This window comes from Homo sapiens, chromosome 10 (genome assembly GCF_000001405.40).
Source record: "Homo sapiens chromosome 10, GRCh38.p14 Primary Assembly".
In the NCBI taxonomy this organism is placed as follows: Eukaryota; Metazoa; Chordata; class Mammalia; order Primates; family Hominidae; genus Homo; species Homo sapiens.
Window position 1 is genome coordinate 132,236,180 of NC_000010.11, and position 12,282 is coordinate 132,248,461.

Sequence of the window (12,282 nt, forward strand, 5' to 3'; positions counted from 1 at the left end):
CAGAAAGGACCCCTGGCCCCTTCCCCAGGTGGCAGAGCCTGCGCACGGCCTGGTCAGCGAAGGGACGTGGTCAATGCTGGGACCTGGGCTCTGGGCCCACGCGGAGGCCCGACTGCCCCGGAAATGGCCAACAATGTCCCCGCGGTCCTGGATGCCACAACCTGTCATGAGGTTCGCAGAAGGGGGTGACCCGATGGGGTGGCCAGGGGCTCCCGGTCCAGATGAGGAAGCTGAGGCTGGGTGGCAGGTGGCAGCCCCACCGTGCACGGGCCCCACACACACTGGGCAGCTGTGTCTGCCACGTGTGGGCCCAGCGCAGTGGCGAGGAAGCTTCCTTCTCACTCGCGGGCTCGCTGCAGGACAGCCAGGAAGGCAGCCCAGGAGGGGGTGCCTATGACATATTTGAGACTGACCTGAGGCAGCATGACAAGTTTAACTTTCCACACCAGAACGGCTCAGTCACCCTCAACATGGTTTCCAGTACTATCCCCCACCCACCCCAGTGGCTCCAGCCGGCAGCCAGAGATAGAAACTTAGAGGCGTGTCTCCCACCTAACAGAGGCTTCCTTTCCCGGCCATTCAGACATGTGCCTGCCAGCTTACATGTCCATCACGGTGTGACCCTCGACCTGGTGCCTGGGGTTCACCCACCAAGCAGACCTCCTGTGGACCCGACAAACGTGTTGGCCCCAGGGTCCCTGCACTCCCTGCTTGTGCCCCCGACCTCCAAGTGCTTGTGGGCACCAGGCCTGCCACGCGCCCGCCAAGGTCTGTAAGTACTAGAAGATCTTCAGCTTCCACACTGTGGTTGTATCACGGAAACCCTGTCTGCCCCAGTTCCACCCCTAACGACGAGGCCGGCCCTCAGGGACCCACACGGGTGGATGGATCCCTTGGTCTCTGGCCACAGCCTCCCGACTGTTGAGACCGGAGCTGCCAGCTGGGTGGGCGGTTTCATTTTAAATGCCCACTCCTGCCCCTGGGCTCCCACTCCCTGACTGTGCTCCCTGGACTGTGCTCCCTGGACTGTGCTCCCTGGGCTCACAGGCTGGGCCCCTCTGCCCTCCACTGGCGTTTGCTCCTCCCAAGCCAGGTGACCTGACCAGAGGCCAGTAGGGCCACCTCTCTGGCCTCAGCTTCCTTGCAGCTCTAAGGCAAAGGCAAGGACCATGCACACGCCTGTCGAGGGAAGAAAATGAGAAAATGGATATGAAAGTTCTCCTCCTCCTCCTGAATCAGTCATGAGGGAAACAGCTATTTTAAGGCATAAAGGTGCAGCCTGGGTGACCCAGAGAGACGGGCCCGGCAAATTCCCACCGCCTTTTGGCCCATTTAGGAGCACGTGGTAACCACTCCTTCCTAAGCAGACTCTGCGCCGAGGTCCCCACGCAGGGTTTCTTTGCTCCTGCAGTGGTGGCGGAGGTGAACCCAAAGCAGAGGGCGAGGCACAGAGGAACCTGAGTGTGCCGGCGGGGCTGGCCCCGGTGCAGCTCCATCCCTCTGCCCCCAAGTGCAGCTTCACCCCTCTTCCCCCAAGTGTGTGCCGGCGGGGCTGGCCCGGTGTGGCTTCACCCCTCTGCCCCTAGAGCCTGGAGGAGAACCAGCCCTGGAAGAATCAGCTTCCCCACAGCAGGGAGAGCAGGATCCCCCTTTCCCGACCATTTAGGAACCTCCAGCTGCCTTGTACACAGGGCTCCTCCGGGTTCTCTAATCAGTGCTGCCATCCCCCTCCCAACGCTGGCCTGGTGGGAGGTGATCTGTTTAATCCTCAGCATCTCTGCCTCCCTCCAAAGCCACTGTGGTCAGACCCAGCACAGCCTGGAGCCCCCGAGACTCTCCAGCCCTGACCCTCCCAGAGAAAAGGCAGCTGCTAAGCTGGGCCCCTCAGTGTGGCAGGCAAGTGGACGAGGCCTGGGGAACTGCCAGCAGTGCTGGCGGGGGAACTTCCTCCCACCATCTGGCCAGGGCACGGGGCAGCCTCCTTGGGACCGAGGCAGCTTCTACTGAGGACTGTGGTGCAGCAGCTGCTCTCGGAGGCCCCCACGGGAAGCTACACAGCAGGTCCAAGAGATCCACATGATTCAGGAGATGCCCCTTGCTTTAAAATGTAGGTTTTATTATCACACAGGTGGGTGAGATCAGGAGATGCCTGCCATTGATGAGACCGTTCGTTATAGTTACCAACAGGAGGAGGGGCATGCCACACCGTGGGGCCACACAGCAAAGACCAGGGTCTCGGAGGCAGACGACGTGAAGGGGAAACACGGGCAGAGCCTTAGTGGAGGCTTCCTCGGGAAAAGCAGGGAAAGGCGGGGAAAGCCAGGTGAGCAGGTTTGAGACTGGCCTGTGGGAATACAGGCCTGCCCTGGTTGTCTGGGGTCAGGTCCTGAGGTGATTCATGCAGGGGATGTGGGCTCAAGCCTGGGAAAGCATAGAGCAGACGGCTGGGGGTGAGCTGGGGGTTGCATTTGAAAGGCAACCAAAGGCAAGTGTTTCTGATCTCTAGGAAGTGGCTGGCCCAGGAGGGGCAGTCTCTCCAGGGTCAGCAAGGCCCTGACATTAAAGCGTTGGAAATACACAGTTCATACATGTGCAATGCATGCACACACACACACATACCACATACACACATGCACACACAGAGGCATGCACACACACGCAACACACAGACATGCAGGCACACACACGTTCATGTACACAGGTATGCACACACAGAGGAGCGGGCACGCTGGGTGGACACTTGGGCGGAGACCAGGCTGCAGTGCCGGGGTGACTGTCCAGCCCTGTCGGGTCCTCAGTGCTCCTGAAACCCTCGCCCTGGGCCAGGCTGGACATGCAGGGCCAAGCACTCCCCATCAGAGGTCCAAGGGAGGAAGATCACACTGCACTTAACCATTTAAACCCCAAAGCCAGACAGGGTCTGCAGTGGCCAGTACTGCACTCCACAATCCTGAGAGCCACAGGCTGGAACCCTCAGGATGCTGGTGGGTATTTTATAGATGGTGTGAGGGCTCAGGACAAGAGCACTGTGTGCACTGAGCCTCCCCACAGCCTGTCCTGGGGCCCTCGGTCCAGCCGGCAGATTCCTTTGGTCCCCACAGGAGAGCAGGTCAGCTCAACCCAGTAAACATTCTCTGGACCCGGCACCAGCAAACGGTCCTCCCCAAGCTGGGGGAGCCCATCTCACACACACAATCACAGAATCACAGCAAAGTCAGCAAAAACCCAAACAAAGCCTGTATCAAACCATCTTAGTCCCAACTAATGGAGTCCAGAAACGCCATTGCTCCAAAGTCCCCAGGGGCACCGCACACTCCCTGCCAGATGGGGGTCGCTCCATGCCACGCACTTGGCCGCCGCAGAGGGCTCCTGCTGCCCTGAGCGGGGTGGCCAGGCAGTGGGCTGGTGAGGAAACCAGAGCCTGTGCTGCTGGAAAGTGGGGGCCATCTGGGAGAAACCCAGGCCCAGCCGCCCGCAGTGACTGCAGCAGCCCCTGCCCCGGGAGCCCGGCAGCAGGCCAGCAGACGCTGCTGGACATCGTCAACTTTTAGCGGCCACTGATGGCTCCCTTTCAGCCAGGCTTCCCGGACACTAGGGGGCTGTCATGTGAGGGGTCACTCACGGCACATAGGCCCGGGTTCCCCAGGTCCCAAGCCCAGGATCCAGGCCTGGACATCTCAGGAGCAGGGTCTGGACAGTGAGGACAGGGACGCATCACTCGCCATGGGAACACACGTCACAGATAAGCAACCCCCAGCACACCCAGCTTCCAATCGACGTCAGCGTCCGCTGGCTGTGAACATGAGGAAGAAACGGAGCTGCCTGTCAGGCTGAGTTCACCCAGGCTGCCTTCCGGTGGAGCTGCCATCCTGGTGGCCTGGAGAGCACGAGGCCCCCCCCAAAGAAGACCCCCAGGGAAGCCCCCCCAGGGCAGAGCCTGGGCTACAGGCAGTGCTGACTCAAGCCGCCTGGGTGGTGGCCTGAAACCCATGACCCCAAGCTGGCAACTGAGTTTCATCCCAGAACCCGGACACCTGCAAGCTCTTCTCAGCCAGTGCTGCTCGCCACCTGCAGCGAGTCCCCCCGATGGATGAGGAACCCTCAGAACCAGCTCCTCCCGGCGTGGACTCAGAGGCCACAGGCTCAGCCACGGTGTCACAGTCACACATGGCAGGGTGGTCCTACAGCAGCCGCTGGCGGGTTGCCATAGCGACCACAGGCACTGTCTTCTCGCTGAGACGGCACAGGGGGCCCAGGTAAGGTGGAATCCAGAGGCCACGTACACAGGCCCTGCACGGGGGCATGGAGCTGGGGAGCCCGGCCAGGCAGACCTTCTTCACCCACAAACATGCTCATCCTCTTCTTGCCTCTCTGTTGGGTCCATCTGAGATGTGGGGTCACTGCAAGGACAGGCGGTTCCTCGGGGTGGGTGGGGGCTGTGGTGAAGGCCTTTTGACCTGTTTTCTTAGTTATTTCCCCACAGCCTGGGAAATGCGGACGCCGTGCGCCTGTGCTTCTCTCTCTCTCCCTCGGACAGGGGGATGGCCTGGGGTGAGGGGTGCGCAGGGCAGGGCGAGGAGCCCAGCCAGCCAGGGGGGTTAGAGAGGAGAGGGCAGAGACCCACTTAGGGTCAAGGGGCGGGGCTGCACCCAACTGTGCCCACTGCCCAACAGCCAGCCGTGCCACCGAGAAATCCATCTGGGCAAGGGGCTCTCGAACCCCCAAAGGGGCACCACACCCCTAGAGACACGCCTCTGCCTCCTGATAGCTGTGCCCATCAGACACCGTCAAGCTGGCGTCCTGGTGCTCCCTGCAGCATTCTGGCCGAGTGGAAATCCGGCCTCTGCCCCTACAGAAGTCAACGGGAACACACGATCTCCCAGCACTTAGCACTCACACCCCAAACACTCCTAGTTAAGTGAGGGCCTGGCTGTTATTCCCAGGAGCACCAGCCACAGCTTGGCAAAGCCAAACCCGACCCTCCACCCACACCTGCTGCCCAGGCTGGGTGCAAGAGCCACACGCCCAGCCCACCCAACTCCTCCAGCCAGAAGCACAGCCGTGGCTCCAAAGAGGCATCCAAAGAGGACGCCGACTGCCCCTTTGACAGCTGCGGGAAGGCAGGGCTCAGGGCCAGGCAGTGGCTCAACGACAAGGTCGACAATTTAACACTGGGAAAAGTTAGAAAATAAAGTCTGTTAGTCACGGCAGCAAAAAGTTCCACGTAACAACATGACATAGAATAACCATAGGAACGACGTATCATCAACGGAACAAAATGTGAAGAATCAAGATGAAAAAGCAGACGCCTATTTGGGTAAAAGACACTAGACCCCTAGATGGGTAAGATCTCAACTTTGCTCTCAATTAATCTGAAAACGTAACTCCTATCCAAATCCCAGCGGGGTTACTTTCGACCTTGACAAGACGTATTCAGAAGTCCGTGTGGAAAAATAAACACGAAGGAAGAGCCGGCATTTTTGGCAGAGTGTAGAAGAGGCTCCAGAACACTGCGGACTCACTGGTCAGCGAACCCTTCATTCAGGGGACAGAGCGGGAAGCCCAGAGAGAGGCCTGCACCCTCGACGGGCTGTCCACAAGCAGCTCCAGACCTCAAGCCCGCCAACTTAAAAGTGCTGAATTCCAGCCACGAGCAGCGGCTCACAGCTGTAATCCCAGGACTTTGGGAGGCTGAGGTGGGCAGATCTCTTGAGGTCACGAGTTTGAGACCAGCCTGGAGAACATAGCGAAACCCTGTCTCTACTAAAAATACAAAAAAAATTAGCTGAGCATGGTGGCACACGCCTGTAGTCCCAGCTACTCAGGAGGCTGAGGAATGAGAATCACTTGAACCTGGGAGGTGGATGTCGCAGTGAGCCGAGATCACGCCACTGCACTTTAGCCTGGGTGACACAGTGAGACCCTGACTGAAAAAATGCTGAATTCCAGATGGACTCCATTCTCCCCAGAACAGAACGTTTCTTGCCCTGATCGTGAATGAGGCAGTGCTGGGTGCAGACGGCCTTCAAGCATGTATGGGGGCCAGGGGCTGGTGTCCTCTGAGAGGGGCCATGAGCTGGGAGCTGCTGGGAGGAGGGCGGCTGAAGGCACCCAGGACACGGGACGAGTGGGGGGAGTGCAGCAGGAGGACGGAAGGGCACGGGTGGTGAAGGGGCTCCGACGGCACCAGTAAACTCTGCGTTGTTGACTGTTTGGAGCAGAAACCACTGGAAAACAGCACCTGAGGTTGGGGGGGCTCTCTCCAAACTCCCCTCATCTGCCTAAAGACAGACACTCCAAGAGGAACTGCCAGCACAGCCCCCCTGCAGTTCCAGCGGCCCAGGAAGAGGGACCCTCCCCCGGGAGAGGGGCCAGGATCCACCCCCGCCTCAGGCTCAGTCACAAACCATCACAGCCCCCGCTGCTTCTCCGAGGGCCCTGTAGTCTCCCCAAAAGCTGTGTGCCCCCCATGCGGCCCCCCGCGCCCCCTTCTCCCAGCCTGCACATCAGCCCTTGGGGCCCACCACTGTTTTGGGTGTTTTCTTTTTCCCCCACGATGCCCTGCACACGTAACACTAATAATAAATTCGTATGCTTTTCCTCCTGCCCCTGTGCCTACTGTCAGCACGTTTCACAGACCTGGCTCTCAGCCTCAGAAGGCAGCCAGAGGGGCGGCTCCTCCATGGCACGTTTGGTTTGGGAAACCTGGGCCCAAAGAACAGGAAAACGCTGTACCCCCACCCAGGGGAACCACAGACCGGAAAGGTCAATGGCTTTTAAGAGATGCGTGTCCAGAGATGGGGCCCACCTTACAGGCCAGAGGGGCCGGGGCTCGGCATGGGCTTGGGGTTCATGCCCAGCCCAACCTGCACTGGTCTGCACCCCCCAGCCAAGCCTGGTCCCAGAGAGACCCTGGGGCAGCGACCTCCCCTCATCCCTGGGGCAGCTGCATCCAAGCCACCCACCCACCAGCTCACAGGAGGATGCAGGAATGGGGCTGCCCCCATCTGTGGCTCCTGGGATCATGGCCCTCAGCCTGAGATATCCACAGCCCAAGGCTGGAATGCGATGTCCTGGATTCTGAACAAGCACAATTAGGCAGCGCTGGGGAGGTGGCGAGCCTCTCAGACACCGCAGCCTCTGGAACCCCGGCTGGACGCTGAGGAGGCAGCAGGCTTCTAATCACACTGAGCAGCCTGGGGGCGAGGCGGGGGTGGAGAGTGGGCTGGACGGAAGTCTATGCCGGGTAAGGGGGCAGGCAGGGGCGGAGGGCAGGCTGGACGAATGTCCATGGCAGGGAGAAACAGATTTTCTCCAAGTCTAGATTCCTCCCTGCTAAGTGGTTAGTCCTGGAATTAACTACCGCCACCACTTTCAGCCGGACAGAACCGGGGGCACCATGTACTTCATGCCTCAAAGCTGTCTTCAAAACAGTGAAAATGGTAAATTTGTTATGTGTAATTCACTGTAATTTTTTAAAAACTGAAAACAAAAACAAAAGCCAAGGGCCAGGTCTAGATAATCCATTTCCGAGAGCGGCGGCCCCGAGGGTGGAGCCATGGCCCTGGTGGTAGAGCAGCTGCACCAGGGCCATTTGGCAGGACCCGACTCTACCCGGTCAGACTCTAAATGCTGCGCCGCCCTGAACGGGTGGGCTCCGGTGCTCTGCCAGGGGATCCCACCCCTCAACCCGGAGCCATTTTCACAGGTGGCTCAAACACTGGCAGGGCTTGGGCACAGCTGAGCCTGGGCCCACCACCACCTGCAGGGAAACAGGGGTGGCTGGGGCCCCTGCTGCTGCAGCCCCTCTGAACTGAGGCCACATGTGAGCAGACACAGCTACAGCCCAACCACACGCAGAACCACCCTTCTCAGCCCTCATCCTTCCTGCCATGGGGTCATTGCCTTGGCCAGTGAAAGAGCTGGAAGGACCCCTCCAGGTCAGTGACAGGCCTCACCTCACCCTCCCCTCAGTGCCAGGCACCCATCAACAAGCGCCGCACAGAACCCCTGCAGGCCTGATGAGGAGGCCTAACTGTGAGCCGGAAGGAACCCTCCAGGTGCACGACTACCCCGCATCTGAACACGGCACCCAGCAGCTCGCTCCTGTTCCCCGCATTCCACAGCCGCCCATTTCTGGGCCAGCTGGCGTTTCCGAGCCTCTTAAGGACTGGTCCAAGGAGTAGAACCCTGGCAGTCTACAGATGGTGGGCAGGGCTGAGGCTGCCCACCTGTGCTCATGAGAAGGAGGGGACCATCCCCAGGCAGGAGTGCAGGGCCAGCAGAGGCGGGGGCAACAGGGGCAATGGGGAGATGCTGGGGGCCCCAGGAAACAGCACCTGCACCCGCCAGCCTCGCTCCCCAGGGCAGGTCTCTGCCCCTCAGATGCCCTCGGCCTGGCCCTCTCCAGACATGCTGGCCGGGCCCAGGCTTCCCAACCTCCCTCCTTGAACCTGATTTCTGGATGCCTGGTGACTCCCAGGGTCCCCCTAAGCCACCTCTCCTGAACCTGGTCACAGCTGCCGTCCTCCGCTGCCAGAGGGGAGCAGTCCCCCAAAACTCCATCCTGCCTGCCCCTCGTGCACCCGCTGTGGGCCTGGGAAACAGAACTTAGGCTCAGCTGGGAGGACAGGAGGGTCTGAGTCAGTCCCAACAGCCCTGAGCGTCTCTGACGAACTCCGCCAGCTTCAGCACCTCACCTCGATGGTCAACCAGCCTCACCAGCAACAAAACGGTGCAGGTCCACGGGCGCCTCCCAACATGCAGGGACTCAAAAGCACTCTCTTCTTGGTGCACGGGAGCTTTCTCAATGCACTGCGCAAAGGGGCTCATTTGCTCTGACTTTTCATCATCCCAGGCCTCAAGTAACCCAGTGGAGCCATCGTTTGCTATACAATGAAATGGAGGTAATTAATCGCATTCAAATACCCTACGTATTATGCTCCGGTAGCATGGCAATCGCTTTAAAAAGGGCTTATGGGGCTTAAATAGACACAGTGTCCAGGCAGCTGTACAGCCAGGAGCAGGAGGGAGGCAGCACCCATCTGCTAAGCCTCCCGGGACAGCTGAAAAGAACTGTCCATTCAGAAGTGATTCATCCACAACAGAGCTGCGCGCAGAAGCCGGAGGGCTAATTCCAACCTTTTCCGAGTGCTCGTTAAGCCTCTTTGAGTTATAATTACCCCCAATCTCTAGATATTACAAGGCGGCAATCAGGAAGTTAGATCTGGTCAAGAGAAAACAAAAGGAGAGTAAAGGAACGGGCTCCGTCCAGGCCGGCAAACAGGCCTATCTGGAGGACAGCAGCAGGGCACTCTGGACGGGGCTGGAGACAGGGATAAGGATGAGGACAAGGACCAGCTGAGGATGCACGCTCAGCACCCACCCTCCGTCCTGTCCCCTGTAGGTCCTGAGGAGCAGCCGCAGGCACAGCCTGGCCTCTAGGCTCCAGTTCAGCCAAAGCTGCGATTTTGTCCTCCTGGTGGCTCCTGGACGCTGCGGAGTTGGTGACACCATGGGGCCCAGTCTGATGGCGGCACAGCCAGCTGCCTCCGTGGCAGGAGTGCCCACGTCCTCCCTAAAAGACCTGGAGCCTCTGCCCAGGTAAGGCTGCTTCTCCCAAGGAGGATGGGAGTAGGTGGGCTCAGGGGACAGCATGTCCGACTCCACGGTTCTGCCCCTGCCCCCTCAGCCCAGTCCCCACCCCAGGCCCTGCCTTACCTTGCCAAAGCTGCCCTTCCCAATGGCCCGAAGGATCTGGAAGTGGTCGAAGTTCACTGCAGGATAAAACAGAGGGACACCTGGTGAGGTGGCAGCAAGGCCCCACCCCAGAGCAGCTCCCCCACCTCAACATCCCCCACCCCGACACTGCCCAGGGCCCCTCATCCTAGAAGAGGGTCGCCGTGGGGCGGGCCAAACTCTCGCTCCTGTGCGAGGCAGGAGGGGGCTGAGCCCCGGTCAGTGAAGACATGGGCCTTGGGTCTTGCACGTCCTACTCCCAGGATTGCTATGGGATTAGGCATGTGCTCAGCCACAGCATGGATGGGGCAAGAATGAACCACACACACCTGAGTCCCAGACTCGACTGGGCTGTCTTCCCAGGCACCAGCCACCCCCACTGAAAGCTGCTCCATCCAGTGAAGACCCCCAGACAGGCAGGCCTGGGGTTTTGGGGGAAGCCATGCACACATGAGCAGCTGTTCCTGGTTCCCCTCCACCCTGCTCCGCGTCTCCAGAGGACAGGGGTGTCAGCCCTGCTGGCACTCACTGGGCAAGCCTGGGGGAGTCTGCAAACGGCCCCAAGATGAACAACGAGAGGCGGCTCAGGGCTGTGGCTATGTCCACCATGACCTGTGTAGCCTGGGAGAGCCTGCGCCCAGCATGAGAGCCGTTCCGCAAGCCTGTGCGAAGCTGCAGAAGGCACCATTTCCCACACCTGCAAGTCCCTCCGGGAGAAGGACGGCTCCCCTAATTGTCACTCGTGAGACCTGTCCGTGTGCCCTATTCACACCAAGGAAAGGGATTCTGATGGGCTTTCCAGACCGTCTGCACTTGCCTTTCAAACCCAGGACATTCTCCGTACACATAAGACGGGGGTCCCACAATGTCACCCCCTGGCCTCCAGGACGAGCCCCTCCAGATGACTCCCAGGCCAGCAGCTGCCTCCACTTGTGTCCCCAGGCCTGTGTCCCCAATTCTGCACCCCTAAGTCCGTGTCCCCAGGTCTGCACCCCTCAGTGTGCTGTATCCATGAAGGGCCAGCACTGTGCCCTGAAGCCAGGTTTAGGACACCCGCTGGTTCATGACATTTCACCTATTTACCCACTTTTACCCCAGCCTCATGTTCACTTATTCTCTGGGGAATTCGACAGCTGGAACAACCCCCTACACACATGGTTATTCTAAAGGCAGGGAAGACACAGCCAAGGCCAGAGGCAGACCCGGGGAGACAGCAGGGTAGGTACTGACCCCTCCTGGGAGGCACGGCCTAGAGTCTCATCTCCACTGCTCCCTGGCGGTACCCTGTGCCGTCTGGTGGGGCAAGTGCTTTAGGCACTCAGTGTGTGGAGGAGGAGACAGAACAGTTTCTAGACGAAAGGTTTCTTTGCATTTTCCTCTGAACTGGAAAATGCCCACTCCCTTCCCAGGGCACCCCAGGATAGCCCCAGGTTTCAGCATAGACGCAGCAGGCAAAGTGTCCATCCTCATGGGCCCTGGGGACAGAGTCACACACCCAGAATTCTTTCAGCCTGAGCTACGGGTGCCGTGACAAGGACCCACGGAGGCTTCAGGGCTCCGAGCACAGGGCAGAGCTGGCCTGAAGGCGCAGGGTGGCATCCTGGGGAGAGGACGCCTGTGCTGGGCCCTCCAGGACAAGTAGGCATCAGCTGGGGGAAGGGAGGGGGTGCCTAGGTGAGGGGCCAGCCTGGGCACAGGCAGGAAAAGGACCCCAAGGGTATGGACAGACCCACAAGCTGGTCCTGGGTGAAGTGGGAGGGCAGTCAGCAGAGCACCTGGGGGTGAGGAAGGGGCTGTGACCTGTGGCCTTGGTCTCCTCTGCACAAGACGGTAGTGGGGCTTGACTCGCAGAGGTGGGGAGAGCGGTTTGATTTAAGCGCCTTAGAAAGGCACTCCCCACTGCAAGTGACCAGAGGGGCACTGACTGGCACAGGAGGTTGGGACCAAGTTGACGGAGGGGGTGGGGCTTCAAGGGGTGAGAGAAGAGGCTGCCAGGCATCAGAGCTGGGCACTGGGCAGAAAGGCCGCAGAGGACGGGCCGTGCTGCACAGACAAGACCCGTGGCCGACACCCACAAGCTGACACAGCCTCCACGAGCCCCCGTTCCAGGCGGCAGCTGCCCCACCCTGCATCCTAGCCTCCTTCCTCAAGAAAACCTATGCACGCCCAGAGATTATGTCATCGAGGCAGAGGCTGCTCCAGCACCAGCAAAGCCACTCCAAGGCAGCCCGGGCCGCGGCCGCACAGGCAGGGAGCAGCTGCCGCCATGTGGCGTCACCCAACGTCACCAGATGTTAAAGGAAAGTCAGCTGTGAACCAGCACGTGGGACAGATGGGCTGAACTAGTGGAGGGAGGAGAGTGAGAGGGCAGCTGGGCCGTGGCAGGGGAGATGGGGACACCAATGCCATCCAGCAGCAACCCCAACAGGACAGACCTCGGAGTCTGCGGGGCCTGCCCTGCAGTGGGGAGGGGACAGGGTGTCAGGGCGAGGCCCAGGGCTGAGCTGGCCGCCTACAGCTTGGGGAGATGAACTCCGCTGGGCG

General features: G+C 60.1%; 1 protein-coding gene across 16 annotated transcripts in view, besides 1 other annotated feature; it reads right to left on the reverse strand.

The window, feature by feature from the left end:
- Positions 1 to 12,282, reverse strand: part of STK32C (serine/threonine kinase 32C) — a 124,754-nt gene that overhangs the window by 28,698 nt on the left and 83,774 nt on the right. For 15 of the 16 annotated variants that reach the window (NR_134911.1, XM_011539693.3, XM_011539688.2 and 12 more), the window contains exon 2: positions 9,721 to 9,776. Coding sequence is in view for 10 of the 16 variants with exons in the window: in XM_011539688.2 (XP_011537990.1) it covers positions 9,721 to 9,776 (56 nt within the window). In the remaining 6 variants the exon portion in view is untranslated. Of the gene's footprint in view, positions 1 to 8,721; positions 9,667 to 9,720; positions 9,777 to 12,282 lie in introns of those variants that run through there. The other variant, XM_047425113.1, reaches the window with a different exon arrangement.
- Positions 6,707 to 7,591: an enhancer, noted in NCBI's record as "H3K4me1 hESC enhancer chr10:134056390-134057274 (GRCh37/hg19 assembly coordinates)". NCBI's record gives its function as "activates a minimal SCP1, AML or CMV promoter by ChIP-STARR-seq in naive H9 embryonic stem cells {active_cell/tissue: H9 hESC(naive)}" and the evidence as "EXISTENCE:reporter gene assay evidence [ECO:0000049][PMID:30033119]".